The sequence below is a fragment of the Homo sapiens genome, chromosome 9 (genome assembly GCF_000001405.40).
Source record: "Homo sapiens chromosome 9, GRCh38.p14 Primary Assembly".
NCBI classification, from domain to species: domain Eukaryota; kingdom Metazoa; phylum Chordata; class Mammalia; order Primates; family Hominidae; genus Homo; species Homo sapiens.
Genome location: NC_000009.12, coordinates 64,471,200 through 64,487,360, shown reverse-complemented (window position 1 = coordinate 64,487,360; position 16,161 = coordinate 64,471,200). Strand labels below are relative to the sequence as shown.

General features: G+C 40.2%; 2 pseudogenes, besides 1 other annotated feature; both read left to right on the top strand.

Moving 5' to 3' along the window:
* On the top strand, positions 254–1,394 carry CNN2P3 (calponin 2 pseudogene 3; annotated as a pseudogene).
* Positions 8,089–8,615: an enhancer, noted in NCBI's record as "OCT4-NANOG-H3K27ac-H3K4me1 hESC enhancer chr9:69491164-69491690 (GRCh37/hg19 assembly coordinates)". NCBI's record gives its function as "activates a minimal SCP1, AML or CMV promoter by ChIP-STARR-seq in naive H9 embryonic stem cells {active_cell/tissue: H9 hESC(naive)}" and the evidence as "EXISTENCE:reporter gene assay evidence [ECO:0000049][PMID:30033119]".
* On the top strand, positions 13,615–14,324 carry LOC100419691 (zinc finger protein 114 pseudogene; annotated as a pseudogene).

The following is a 16,161-nucleotide window of genomic DNA, read 5'->3' as shown; positions in this document are numbered from 1 at the left end:
CCATTCGTATATTGAAATTAATTTTGGTCAGTATGTGTGTGTGTGGATGTATGTGTGTGTGGATGTGTGGATGTAAATGGCAGTAAAGGGTAAAAGGGAAGGTGGAAAAAAGGGAGATGGTCTAACATTTTCCACACATTTTTAAATACACAAAATGTATATTTAACACAATACACATACAATAAAATATGTAGTAAAACAATGGTGTGGTGAAAACAAAACATTGCGAACTAGAAAAAAGACTTAGCCGCTGGTCCTGTCGGATCCGCCCCGCGGCGGCGCCCTCCAGCCATAAGCTCCACGCAGTTCAACAAGGGCCCCTCCTACAGGCTCTTGGCGGACGTCCAGAACAGGCTTCTGCCCAAATATGACTCCCAGAAGGAGGCAGAGCTCCGCAGCTGGATCAAGGGATTCACTGGCCTCTCCATCCTCCCCGACTTCCAGAAGGGCCTGAAGGACGGGATTATTTTATGCACACTCGTGAACAAACTGCAGCCGGGCTCAGTCCCCAAGATCAACGGCTTCCGTGTAGAACTGGCACTAGCTAGAAAACCTCTCCAACTTCCTCAAGGCAATGGTCAGCTACGGCATGATCCCGTGGACCTATTTGAGGCCAACGACCTGTTTGAGAGTGGGAACAATATGCAAGTGCGGGTGTCTCTTCTCGCCCTGGCAGGGAAGGCCAAGACTAAGGGGCTGCGGAGCGGGGTGGACATCCGTGACAAGTACTCAGAGAAGCAGAACTTCCACGACACCACCATGAAGGCCAGCCAGTGTGTCATCCGGCTGCAGATTACCAACAAATGTGCCAGCCAGTCAGGCATGACCGCATATGGCACGAGGAGGCATCTCTACGACCCCAAGAACCGCATCCTGCCCCCCATGGACAATTCGACCATCAGCCTCCAGATGGGTACAAACAAGTGCGCCAGCCAGGTGGGCATGAAGGCTCCCGGGACCCAGCGGCACATCTATGACACCAAGTTGGGAATCGACAAGTGTGAGAACTCCTCCATGTCCCTGAAGATGGGCTACACGCAGGTTGCCAATCACAGCGGCCAGGTCTTTGGCCTAGGCCGGCAAATATACGAACCCAAGTACTAGCCGGGTGGCCCAGTGGCCCACGGGGCTCCCTCCGCCGGCAACTGCCCAGGGCCAGGGGAGGCCCCTTACTACCAGGAGGAGACCGGCTACTGAGGCTCCCAGCACGCTCTCTCCACACATGGTCTCCCCGTCTGGGTGTTGGGTTTTTCTGTGTTTTCATCTTTTTTTTTTTTAACCTGTTCAGTGCTGCCAGTCAACCGAGGGTCTGTGAGTGGCAGCGTGGGATCAGGCAGCAGGGTTTTTTCCCCACCTCCCCTTGCTTTGGTTCCTTGGCAGGACTGAGACACCGGGCTGTGGGGGAAGGGATCAAGGCCGTATCCTGATGCGTGTAGGGTGAAGGTCCCCGCTGGCACTTCCAGGCTGTGGGCTGAGCTGTGCTGGGGAGAAGAGACCTGGGCATGGAGGGAACCAGTCCCCGAAGGTTTCTGGTTGCCTCTCCTCTTCCCCTTTTTGTCAGCCGATCAGTTTGTGGTTTCTGTACCTGCAAAAGTTTCAGGAAGTATTAACAAAAGAAAGAAATTTTTTTCTTCTCCGAGGAATGGGGCGGAGACAGTGGAGAGGGTGCTGGGAAATGAGTCCCCTGGGAGAGGGGGCCCAGCCACGATGCTAAAATATCTCAGGCTCCTGAGTGGCTGGATTTCCCTAGGACCCTCAGACCAACAGACCTCAGACCCTCAAACCTATGCTGGGGCCCGGTGAGGAAACTGAGACCCGTACAAGTTAGTGGAATTCTGAGTTGCCAGGATTAAGTCTGACCCCTCTCCATCCTAGTTCCTCCACCCCCGTGGCCCTCAGTAGGGTTTTTTGTTTGTTTTTGTTTTTGTTTTTTTTGAGATGCAGTCTCACTCTGTCGCCCAGGCTGAAGCACAGTGGAGTAATCTCGCCTCACTGCACCTCAGCCTCCCAGCTTAAGCGATTCTCCTGCCTCAGCCTCCAGAGTAGCTGAGACTACAGGCGCCCACCACCACGCCTACCTAATTTTTTGTATTTTTAGTAGAGACGGGATTTCACCATGTTGGCCAGGCTGGTCGGGAACTCTTTCCCTCATGTGATCCGCCTGTTTCGTCCTCCCAAAGTGTTGGGTTGACAGACGAGAGCCACCGCGCCCAGCCCCTCAGTAGGTCTTAAGGAGCCCCGGCCCTCCTTCTCCCCTTCCGGGCCTGACCAGGTCTACTGCTCTATCTCTCCTGGCTCCAGGCCACGCCAAGTACTGCACAGAGCCCTCCACCCAGGCGCCCTGCGCTATGAGATAATGTGAAATACCGACTGTGGACCAAACGCAATAAAACCTCTGTTTTTAAGAAGAAAATGAAAAGACTTAAAATTGGCATTTTAAGACTTTATTATATATTATTAAATATATATTAAATATAAATGTTATACACTTTAGCGCCTCTATCTCCCAGTCTCTGGTTAGGAGCTTAACTTTCCTAAGCCTCAATTAGTAAACACTTATGGCCTAGCCACGTTGACCTGTCTCTCTCCTAACATCATCCAGTACATTTCGGAAGCGCATGCAAAACTCTCCCACCTTCTGTTTCAACAGATATGTCAACTGATACAATTATACAATAATTGTATAAGATAATATTAGATTTAATCTCACAATCACACTCAGCTTGATTACTAACCCTTCCCTTACATCTTGCTCACCTAAATTTATCTACATTTTCTGTGAACTGAAATTGCTTAGAAATGTATGCCATCTGTGTATTATAGTGTAAGTTATTGTAATATAGAAATATGGACTTTCTTTAACTCCCATTTGCTGCCTAGGAAATACCAATATTTTTTGAGCATGGCAAGTGTTTCCAAGCATTCAGAAGTGGAGAGTGTAGGAAATCCACTGCAGAATGAGGTCTGCTTGTCATCCTCTCAGTCTCAACTGCTCTCCCTCCTTCATCTCTCTGTTTCATTGATGAGTATAGAAGATCAGGCATTTTTATATGAAGTGAAAATTGATGGAACTAAGGTGTTGATTTGAATATCCAACCGACCATTTACTGAGTGTCCATTACAAGTTAAATTGTGTTGTAGAGAACAGCTCAGGAAACGAATGCTTGACATTGATGTACATAACAAAAATACAAACATACCATTAAAAAATCAGACCTCTTATGACAATCCAGATTCTCATGTGAGTTTTGTGAAGCTCTTTCAAGATGAGAATGTAAAATTTCAAAAAAAATCATTTTAACAAGTCATTCTTGAGATAGAAAAGTGGAATTAGAAGATCATATATGGTTGTTTCACTAGCTCAAATCTTATGTACAGTTTTTAGTCAATTGACAGCCATATGATTCTTATTTTATATGCTGTTATTCATTAGAAACTACAAATTTTAAAAAATATTCCTGTCTCATTCTATGAATCAATCTAAAAATTTCATTCATTTGGTTATATTTCTTCATTTTACCTGGCCTTGACTACTTCTTTCCTGCCCAGCATTAAATTTAATTAATGTCTAATTTGTTTACTTGGTTTAGTTACTTTTGGCCATGTTCAGTACACTTCTTATGAAGCAGGCATGTAGGAATGTTGACAAGTTTATGGTCCTCACTTTTCCAAATCCCAAATGGCGGCACCCCAACAGACACATACCACAGTGTAAACACATACACACACAATCCACGCCCACCCATACTCACCCACCTACACACAGACACACACACACACACACTCCAGTGGATCAACACATAAAACACTCCACAGGCAAAGACATTATCCATCAGGGATCTCTTAGTGCACTACACACTTCTGTAAATTATCAGGACTCTTCAATTGAGGTGAGTCTACAGAGATTTCAAAGGCTATTTGAGTGCTAAGCTATCTAACTAGTGGTTGGACACTATTTAAATAATGCGTTAAACACAACTCTTGAGGCTCTGAAGAATTTCTGTGCTTTCCAATGAACCAGGAGTTACAAGGTCCTGAAAACCACAAGTGTGTTACATCCCTTAATAGATAAAGCAAAGCTGATATTAATGTGAATATACTTTATATTTACTTCTATTCGTGTTAATTTTTCTTTGCCTGTAATATACATTTTTATATAATGGGGAATAAGAAACATCTTAGGAAAAAGAAAACAAAAAATAAAATTTCGCTGTTTACACTGTGCCTTGGTCCAGTAACCCTGCACTGCACATATACACTTTAAATTGGTGTCTTGGGGAACCACCTCGGTATTTCATTTTAATAGCGCATCCTGGAGAATATATTTGAGTGGATCACATATTACAACTGATTTAAATTTTGACCCATATAGAAATGTTTTCAAAAATATGTCTGAAGCCTGGATACTGTAAAAATGTTTATCATCATAGAATAATAAAAGGCTAGCCATTAGTTACTCAGAAATTGTTCAGTAAATCTAAGATGACTTAGACACAAATAGTTATGAGTGAATATAGTTCATCATTAATGTTTGTAAAAATTAATGCTGTCTTTTATGGTTGAGAAAAACTAGAAATGTAACTTAACTTGATAGAGATAAATGACATAAACTTTACATAAAGCAAGAGAATAATAGATGTGTAAAAATGTTTTGTAGATAAGATTTTAAGATGAAATTGTGCTGAACGACATGAATCAAATGTGTTTTGCATACTACATCTGCAGCTACAACATCACAGCCTTTTAAGTATTTCGTTAACTTCAAAATGTAACTTATTGCTGAAACAATCTGATTTAATGAATTGGGATAACGGGTAATGATTGGTGTCAGCTGAAAGCAATGCTACACTTTTAAAGTTAGATTTCTTTGTGTATTAATACAAACACCAGAGAAGATGGTCAATAAAGTAATTACTGTACAATGCCTATCATAATACTTAAACCTGGAAGAAAATCAGTAAATGTTAAGTGAATAGAATTGGTGAATTGCTTCCATTTTATACAATTTTTTGTTCATTTTAGGGCTTACCAAAACTTGCAGCTCTGAATAAGGCCCAATTATTTACTCCTTCAAATAAAACAAGACTGCAAGAATAAGGGTGAATGCTTTGTTTTGTTTTGTTTTTCACTGAAATATTCCAGTCTGTAGCAGCTCCAAATCACACTGATCTTTCTAGAGTCTGATACAGGTCCTGGTCTCAAGGCCAGTGTTACCATAATCACCATCTTTTGTGCTTCAAGGTTGAGCCCTCCTAATTTACCTGCATGAAATTGGAAAAGTCCCGTTTCATACTTTAAGCAACCTAGATGTCTCTTTCACTGAAAGTGGTATTCTTCTTGTGTGTCTTTTTTTTTGCAGCAAATGATGTCAACTTCTACCTACACCTGACATCTCAATTAATTTTTGACATTTTGTTCTTCACATTTCCATTTCAAATCACCAAGTATTGTCAGATTTTACCTTCTCTCTATTTCTTGAATGAATTTTTCTCTTTCTATCTTCATTGCCATCATGGATTCCAGCCCATCACTCTCTCACCTGGGCTATGGTGAGCACCTCTAAAGTGCTCTCCCTGATTCTCTCTCCAAAAATGGTTCTGTGTTATATCTGGAATGATTACTTGAAATGTAAATACAATTTGCATTGTAAATTGCTTTGCTTAAAAACTCCCAAAGACTTCACATTAGTACAGGATAAATAGCAAGAGTCCAAAAATGGGTTCAAGCAGTACAAAATTTGTTTCCTTTCTCTTTCCCCCCTCTTGTGGCATGAACATTGTTGAACTAAATGATTCAGATGTATTTCTTCTTGTCTCCTGGACTTTGGTCTTCTTACTCATATGCTTTTCCCACTACCATCCCAGATTTATATAATTAGCTCTTACTGGGTTTTTTTTGTTTGTTTTTTTTGAGATGGAGTCTTGCTCTGTTGCCCAGGCTGGAGTGCAGTGGTGTGATCTCAGCTCACTACAAGCTCCACCTCCCAGGTTCATGCCATTCTCCTGCCTTAGCCTCCAAAGTAGCTGGGACTACAGGCGCCTGCCACCTCACCTGGCTAATTTTTTTTTTTTTTTTTGTATTTTTAGTAGAGACAGGGTTTCACAGTGTTAGCCAGGATGGTCTCGATCTCCTGACCTCGTGATTCACCTGCCTCAGCCTCCCAAAGTGCTGGGATTACAGGCGTAAGCCACCACACCCAGCCAGCTCTTACTCTTATTTTGGTTTGCTCTTCATCTTCCCCACCAAGGGAAACCTTACCTGATATCCCTAAATATGAAAGGCTTTCATAACAGTGCATAGCTTTTCTCTGTTATTTATAATATTGTTTTTAGGTTTTTATATTTTTATTACTATTTATAATAGATACATCTGAGCATGCTCTTTGATAATAAGTCTAATAAAGTTTTGATGCATTTAGTAATTCAGTACAAAATTGTTTTCTATAAGCCATGATTCTAGAGATTGAGGGGAAAGTGCAGTGGTAATCTGTCCCAAATGGAAGGACAAATAGCCAAGCAATGTTGACCTACCCATTCATCTCTCAAAAACAGGGTTAAGATATTGATTCTCCTGTTTTCAGGATGAAGCAGGGACAGGGAGTTTCTTGTTATCCTCTCAACTCACTCTTTTTATGGAAAAAGTAATTAATCTGATAAATGACACAAAAGATTTTGATGTTCATTAACAAGGTGGTGATTCCAAGAAGTTGAAATAAAAAGACTTCAGAGCCCGTCTCTCTCAATCACTATCTTTGGTCTCTTGAGGATGCTTGTGCACAAAATAGGGAACACCTGTGTAAGAACTGCATAGGCAGGCTCAGTCCAGCGACTGGTTTCATAAATCCAACTTTTCCAAGCATGATGGAATGTCAGAATCCCGTGAGCCAAAAGTTTTATGATGAGAGAGGAAGAATGATATTTTACTCCCCAATCTAATTTTTAAATTAAATTTTAAACAAAGTTAATAAAGTTAACAAACCTGAATACACACACACACATGCATATATACCCACGCACATGCACACAGGCTTCTTGCATTCTTTTTTTTGTTTAATCATTCATGAGAAATGGTTGGATTTTGTATTTTCTATCTACCAATACTTGCACAAACTCTGGCTGCAAAACTTTTGTTGGTCAAATATTAGCATTTGGGAAACCACATCCCTGCTGAGAGATAGAAGATCTTGATACAACCTTAACTACATCATCAGTAGACATGGGACTGTTTTTAACCAGAAGGAGGCAAATGTCTTCCAGATGGTTGTGTAGCTGGTTTTAACAGTAGCCTGCAGTGGCTTTTTGACAGACATAAACCTTACTAGTTATTATTAGGCTTCAGAGCATTAGTATGAAGTTTTAATTTGGCTTATGTTAGGGATGAGAAGGTAGCACTATCCTAGATGCCCTAAATATTGCTCCTTGTCACTTTTTCCCCACTGAATTCAGAGGTAATCTGGGGACTGTGTCTAAAATGGCCTTATATTCATGTGTTTGCCATGAGTTTCTGAAGCTTTCATTCTGAACATGGTCTCAAGTTGGCTCTTGAGGGCTAATTTCATTACACATGATCATAGGCATAAATTTAAATTTGTGGAGGATTGTTTTGTACATCCCACATGAAGGGGTGACCTGCCCCTCCACACCTGTGGGTGTTTCTTATTGGGTGGGATGAGAGACTGAGAAAAGAAAGAGACACAGAGACAAAGTATAGAGAAAGAAACATGGGCCCAGGGTACCGGCACTCAGCATATGGAGGATCCACGCTGGCACCGGTCTCTGAGTTCCCTCAGTATTTATTGATCATTATCTCTACCATCTCAGAGAGGGGGATGTGGCAGGGCAATAGGGTAATAGTGGGGAGAGGGTCAGCAGGAAAACATGTGAACAAATGTCTGTGTGCCATAAACAAGGTTAGAAAAGGTGCTGTGCTTTGAGGTGCACATACATAAACATCTCGGTGCATTAAAGGGCAGTACTGCAGCCAGCATGTCTCACCTCCAGCCTTAAGGCAGTTTTCTCCTTATCTCAGTTGATGGAACATACAATCGGGTTTTACACCGAGATATTCCATTGCCCAGGGACAGCAGGAGACAGATGCCTTCCTCTTATCTCAACTGCAAAGAGGCCTTCCTCTTTTACTAATCCTCCTCAGCACAGACCCTTTATGGGTGTCTGGCTGGGGGATGGTCAGGTCTTTCCCTTCCCACAAGGCCATATCTCAGACTATCACTTGGGGAGAAACCTTGGACAATACCTGGCTTTCCTAGGCAGAGGTCCCTGCAGCCTTCCGTAGTGTGTAGTGTATTGTGTCCCTGGGTACTTGAGATTAGAGAGTGGTGATGACTTTTAACAAGCAAACTGCCTTCAAGCACTTGTTTAACAAAGCACATCCTGCATAGCCCTAAATCCATTAAACCTTGAGTCAACACAGTGCATGTCTCTGCCAGCACAGGGTTGGGGGTAGGGTTACAGATTAACAGCATCTCAAGGCAGAAGAATTTTTCTTAGTACAGAACAAAATGGAGTCTCTTATGTCTACTTCTTTCTACATAGACACAGTAACAGTCTGATCTCTCTTTCTTTTCCCCACACCACAGAATCTGGATTCACTACCAAGAGACTGTAGCATTTATCAAAAAGAAGATAAAGAGAAATAAGAGTTCTTGTTGTCTAGGGAATATATCATCTTCTTTAGGTAATGCTTATTAATGCTCCTCAAAATAGCTAGAGCATTCAAGCTTTGTAACGAGTTCACAATGAGAGAAGTAGCTTCTACTAGAAATTAAATGTTACTTCTTTCATTAACTATTGCTACAAGAATACGTTTGCTGAATAAATTAGCACATTTATTGATATAATTGATTTGCATACTGTGGCAGCACTTCATGGACCAAACCCTAAATCCCATGAAAAATTGAATAGAATTATTTGACAGTTAAGTATCATTGGAAAAGCCTGGCTCTAGTTCTCAGGAAGCAATCTGGTTGATTATGTGTTTTCGGTGTGTAGTCATAATACAACTGTATATCACTAGTGTACATTAGACACTTTGTGCACTCTACATATATTTTCTCATTTGATCCTTCAATACATGCATAACAGAAGAAATAGATGTGGATTTAATTGCTCCACTAGGGTCAAAGACCAAAAACCTCATTACAATGCCAATGTTAGAAATTCTTCTTCCAATTAAAATAAAGTTACCAAAGACAATTGCTCCTGCCATAATGAGAAAATATCGGATGAACTTTAAAAAATTATTTTTTTTTTTGTTTAAAGCCATCAAAAAATTGTGGGTCTAAAGTGTCAATGAACTAAATTTCAGAGAAAAACAAGCCCTTCCTTGGTGATCACAGATTAGCAGCAGAGCCCATCTCTGAGGACATTTGCTGGATCTGGGGCCTTGAGTAGGTAGAAGAACAAGCCTACAATGTGCAGACAGCTGGAACATTGGGAATAAGCAAAATAATCTACAGGGAACTGCAAGAGGGACTGAAAACTAGAAAGATCACGTGTTCTCCTCACACTTACTTATTTCCACTTAAGAGACAGGGTCTCATTCTGTCACCCAGGCTATGGTGCAGTGGAATAATCATTGCTCACTGCAGCCTCAAACTCCTCCCTCAGGTGATCCTCCTGCTTCAGCCTCTCCAGTACATGGAACTACAGGTGCATGGCATCATGCTTGGCTAATTTTTAATTTTTTTGTGTGTGGACACAAAAACCGACTAGGTTTCCCAGGCTGGTCTAGAACTCTTGGCCTCAAGTGTTCTTCCTGCCTTGACCCCACCCTCTCCAACCAAGCACTGGGATTACAGGTGTGAGTCATCACATCTGGCCTTCCCTAGCATTTAGATATTAAACTGTTGGAAAAATGAGTAAAAAATAAATATAAGTAGCATTTTGAGTATTTTCTTCCCATACACCCATGGATTGTTTAGTGTATCTTACTACTTCACATAGGAGACCATTCCTGCATCAAACTATATAAACTAAGTATTTAAATTTGATTTTTTCCCTACAATAAGCTCTATGCTAAAGCTCATTACATTTGATTTTGACAATCTGTTTTTATACCACAGTTGCAAAAAATTAATCACATTCTTTACTTCATGAGACATTATCATTATTGTTTCCTACAAGTTTCTCTGGTTTTACTTGTTTCATTTTTTTATTCCTTATCCCTTGTCACAGACAGGCATGCTAATGTGTTTGATATAGGTTCTTTACTCTTAAAGAATTCTTACAAGATAAGAAGGTTGTTTTCTGAGTGTGTGTATGTGTATATACGTGAGTGTATACATTTTGCTTAAAGAGTATTGTGCTATAAATCTAATTTTATTTCTAATTTTTTCACAGAGCATAACATCCTTCATACATTCCCACATTGCTGTAGGTTATTTTTGGTTGTTTATTCCCCTGTAGCTGCTGCATAGTTTTCAATAAAATGAATCAACCACATTTTCCCTATCCAGTCTTGCAGTAGAATTCACACTGATATCCTGCTACTGAAATATTCACTTCCTTATGGTATCCTTATGAAAACACTTTTTGGTCATGTGTTACAATTTGTCAGGGGCTGTGTTAGTCTCTTTATATTGCTATGAAGACATACCCAATGCTGGGTAATTTATTTATTATTTTTTAATAAAAGAGGTTTATCTTGGTTCGGGGTTCTGCAGACTGCACAGGAAGCAATGCTATCTGCTCTGGGTGAGGCCTCAAGAAGCTTACAATCATGGCAGAAGGTGAAGGGGAGCCAGTGTGTCACATGGTCAGAGAGGGAGTAAGAGAGACAAGGGGGCAGTCCCAGGCTGTTTCTAACAATCAGATCTCTATGAACTCACTGAGAAGAACTCACTCAAGTGGATTGTGCTAAACCAAGCTTGTCCAACCCACAGCTTGTGGGCTGAATGCAGGTCAGAACAGCTTTGAATGTGGCCCAAATTTGTCAACTTTGTTAAAACAAAAGAGAGTTTGTGTATGTGTGTGTGTGTGTGTGTGTGTGTGTGTGTGTGTGTTTATTTTTATTTATTTATGTATTTATTTATTTTAGCTCATCAGCTATTTTTAGTGTATTTTATGTGTGGCTCAAGAAAATTCTTCTTCCAATGCTGTCCAGGGAAGCCAAAAGTTGGACATTCCTGTGCTAAGCTATTCATAAGGCATCCACCCCATGATCCAATACCTCTCACTGGGCCCCACCTCCAACATTGGGGATCATATTTTAACATGAGATTTGGAGGGGACACACATCCAAACTATATCAGGGATATGTACCCATCATCGAGACAGGTTGTAGAGTATGCATACTTTCAAATGGGTCCTGTCATGTTATTTTCTGAAATGGTTAAAACCATTTAATTTCCCATCCATTGCCCATAAAGGTTGTTTTCCTCATATCCTCATCACTCAATGTTATCTAGGATTCTTATATTTTCTAAGCAAGTGGTGAAAATACAGATCTCATTTTATTTGTGTACATTTGCATTTGTCAGATTGTTAACAATGTATTGAATTTTTTGGCCCATTTTTCTATTGAGTTTACTATCTTCTTTGTTCATCTGAATATCAATCATATTCACTTTGCCCTAAGCAGTGTCAACATTTTCTATTACTCTGTCATACATCTGATAACTTTGTATGCCAACCTTTACTGAAATGAGCCTTTATGATTTTTATACTTCTAGAGTTTATGTATTTAATTAAATTTATTGGTTTAGTATATATTTTATTAAACTGTAACAACAGTCCCAAATCTATGTTTTGCTGGGTTCATTCAGATTTAGAACTCAGATAACTTTTTGGAGGATAAATTCTTTTTATCATAATGAAGAATGGCTATCATAATGCAATATGATTACTTCTGCCAATGCTTATTGTTTTATAGTCTACTTTGTTTCTGTGGTCAGGAGGACAAGACCTGAATGGCCTTGACCAACTCAGCTTTCTGTACCTCCTAGTTCTCAGAATAACTTTAGAATGTTCCAAGAAGACAATATCCTGAGATGAGTAGAAACCATCTGGGACAGTCTGGGCTCTGTCCTTGTTGTTCCTAGAACAGGATATTACTGCAGCCCTTAAACTCAGAGAGCCAATGTGCACGTGGGGTGTGAAACCTAGGGCGGAGCACTCAGGGGTTCCTCAGCACAGTACACAGTGGGGCATGTGCAGAGGAGACTCCACCAACGCTGGGCAACTTTTCTGACCTCAAGGGTCAGGCTTGCCATAGAACTTAACGGTTTTGCTGATTCTTCCTGCTCCTCTGTGAGTAATAAATTTGGTTTGTCTGACTTACTGTGCGAGCATTCTTCTGTTCCTGGCAGCTTGGTTTATATAAAAAACCTCCTACTAGACCTATGAATCTATGCAATGTGGAAGTGTCATAGAGGTAAATAAGAAGCAACTTAACTGAGTTGAAAACTAACATACATAACATGGGGCCACTGCACCAAGGGGCAAAATGATCCTGCCAAAAAGTCCCATGTGACCATTCCAGACATACTGTGGAAGAAGGATGCTGAAACTCACAGAGATCTGAAGATCTTACCCAAGCCAACAGGAGGCTAATAAAGCAAGAGAACTCCACTGTACTCTGATGCGAGAGTACAAGCTTCATCTCAGAGAATAGCAATGCAATGGCCCCAGCGATCAGACCAGAGAGACCCTGTGCCACAGAGAAAGCAGAGGTCTAGAGAACAGCATGAAGACAATAAGAGACTTCAGATTCACTTTCCCTTTGCCTTGAGGCCACAGAAAGCCCAAAGCATCTGAACATCTTCCTGGAGGCATTTAACTAAAAGAGAGCTATTGAAACTTGAAGAAAAATGTGAATCAAGAAGCTAAATTTAAAGATATGTTACTTTCTCCAACCCTCCCCCACCAATTAACCATAGGATGAGTCTAGTGAGATAAAGCATATCATTTATACAAAATACAAAAGTTATATGTCCTTTATGTGGGCAGAAATATGTTCAAGCTTTACTCAATAAAGGTAACTTGTTTTACTACTAGAAATGGTAATTTTCACTTGGTCATTACTTTATTTTATAATTATCTCTATTTAAATTAGTATCAGCTCACTCCTGGGTATCCACCTAGAGGAAAAGAAGTCATATGAAAAAGACACATGTATGCACATTCATAGCAGCACAACTCACAGTTGCAAAAATGTGTAACAAGGTTAAATGTCTATCAGCCAATGAGTGGACAAAGAAAATGTGTTATAGATACACCATGGAATACTACTCAGCCCTAAAAATGAATCAAATAATGACACTTGCAGCAACCTGGATGGAGTTAGAGATGATTATTGTAAGTGAAGTAACTCAGGAATAAAAAACAAATATTGTATGTTCTCACTTATAAGTGGGAGCTAAGCTATGAGAGAGTGAAGGCATAAGAATGATTTAATAGACTTTGGGGACTCAGAGGGAAGGTTAGGGGGGTGAGGGATAAAAGACTACACATTGGGTACAATGTACACTACTTGAGTAATGCGTACACCAAAATCTCAGAAATCACCACTAAATAACTTTTCCATGTAACCAAAAACCACCTGTTTCCCAAAAACTATTGCAATAAAGTAATATATATGAAAACAATCAACATGATAGTCTTGAAGTGCAACATTCACTGGGTTTCATATGGGAGAAAAACAGCTAAAATCAAACACATGGACAGGCAGTCAGAACAATGTCCATCATATACATAGTAAAATTAATACAAGGACAAACATTCATGAGTGGAGTCCATTTGAATTAGCCTGTAGTGAAGACATGTGCCTTAGGGCACACATAACTCATGTTAGGGAGAAAATGTATAATTTTACTCAATGTGAAAACATCTTCAGAAATAACTCAGTCCATGCTGTCCAGATGCAGTTCTGTTCTGTAGAGATGAAGAATAAGAATCATCAAAGTGGAAAAACCTCTGTCCTGCTCCAAATTCTGGTCCACACAGGAGTAGTACTACTGGAGAGAAAAGCCATACATGTCCCAAATGAAGGAAAGCCTTTACGTTATCAGTCATTTCTTATGAGACATTATGAAACTTCACACTGGAGAGAAACCTTATGAATGTAACAAAAGTGAGAAAGGCTTTAGATATTCCCTACACCTTAATAAACATTTAAGAAAGAACATTCTGGAGAAGCCCTATGGATGTAAGGAATGTGGGAAAGCCTTCAGCAAGGCTCAAAACATGCACATATAAGGAGTCACACTGGAAGAAACCCTATAAATGTGATAAATGTGAAAAAGACTTTGCAAAGTCACCAGAATTAAAAGCCATCTTAAGATTCACAATAGTGAGAAGCCCTGTGAGTGGCAGGGAAATCATCATTAATTTTTCACCGTACTGAACATGTGAGGAGGACATACTGGAAGGGAGCTCAATGAGTTAACATGCATGAGAACATCTTTCCTGAACTCTCCTATCTTACAGAAGTGTGAAAAGAAACCCTCTGAAGGTAAAGTCTATGGAAAGCCTTTCATCTTCATTCATCGTGAGTAGATATTTGTTCTCACACTGGAGAGAAGCTATGAAAGTAAGGAATATAAAAAAAGCCTCAGTGTTGTCTCAGACTCATAGTTCATACAAGAACTCACACAGCAGAGACTGCTTATGGAAGTAAAAAATGCAGAAAATACCTCTTTAAACACTATCCCTCCTTTATACATGATTCCACACCCTGGAGGGAGACTACAATTGAATAAATATAAGAAAGCTTTCAGTTCCAGCTCTTCACTTATTGGGCATGAATGAGCACAGGGTAGGACTGAAGCACAGTAAACGTTAACAATTATTGACTTTATCATTGTCTTATCCCTCAATTAGAACTCAAATTCATAATTTTGTAGTTTTTCCTTTCTTAAAAAATGGTACAAGATGACAGATATCTGTCTTAGCAACCTTTCCGCTCTGCCACATTAATGTTGCTATGTAGTAGCTTTGTTACAATTCATTTACATACACATGGTTTCATTTTCAGTGAGAAGCCCTTCTGAGCTCCATTCAATTTAGATTTAGAATTCGTATGCTCCATGATACCTTTTTTGTCAGTTTGTTTTTCGTTGGTCACAATTTGACTGCATTATGGTCACATTATGTGGTTTTAATGGTACTGATTTGGGGTACCTGTTATGACTTTCATTTTGGTCTAATGTGGCCAATGCTGTCCATTTCCCTGCTATATCCATTATTCTCATCTTCTTCACTAAGGGAACATAGATTCACTTTTTCCAAGGAGCACTGTTTAAATGTCTTTATTTATTTATTTATGCATATTTTATTATTTTACAATTTTTTTTTTGAAAAATGGTCTCACTCTGTCTCCCAGGCTGGAGTGCAGTGGCATGATCAGAGCTCACTGCAGCCTTGAACTCCTGGGCTCATGTGATCTCCCAGCTCAGACTCCTGAGTAGGTAGGACTGCAGGCATAACAGGTGTGCACCGCCACACCCAGCTTTTGTTTTGTTTTGTTTTTGTAGAGACTGGGTCTCGTTATGTTGCCTGGACTGGTTTCAAATTCCTGTGCTCAAGTGATTCTCCCACCTTGGCCTCCCAAATTGCTGGAATTACAGGCATGAGCCACCATGCCTGGCCCTGGTTAACGTCTTTAAATGAGTTTCCCAGTTTTTCTTGTAACTGTAGTGAGCGAATCTTATAGTCCTGGCCAATGTGAAATGCAGAATTCACTGCTTTGGATTTCTGAAAATCTGTTTGGAAAGGGGAGAGTTATTGTTCCTCTTTTTTGTTGACCAATTTCCCTTTGCTTTCTCTGCTTGCTCCTCTCTGGAAATAGGATGAAATGCCCTGAGTTGGGTTTAGCAACTTGAAGACCATTGGAAAGATTGTCCCTACAACAAAACCTTCAATCTACAAGATTTCTCCCTCCCCAATGGCATGTTGTGTATCCCTGGCTGCCGTGGACTATTTCTGGACTTGTTTCATGAAACTAACCCCTAGTAGAACTAAGAAACATTTTAGGAGAGAAGTTTACAACAGATTAAATGATAAACCTAAAAAATGAATAAAACATATTATAAAAATAAAGAGGATAGACAAAACGGGCTTGCAGATGCTGACTGGCCACACTCATCCTTGGTGCTTGCCCCCATGGATGCCTCACTGACTGTGACACTTGGAGAGCTGGCAGCCA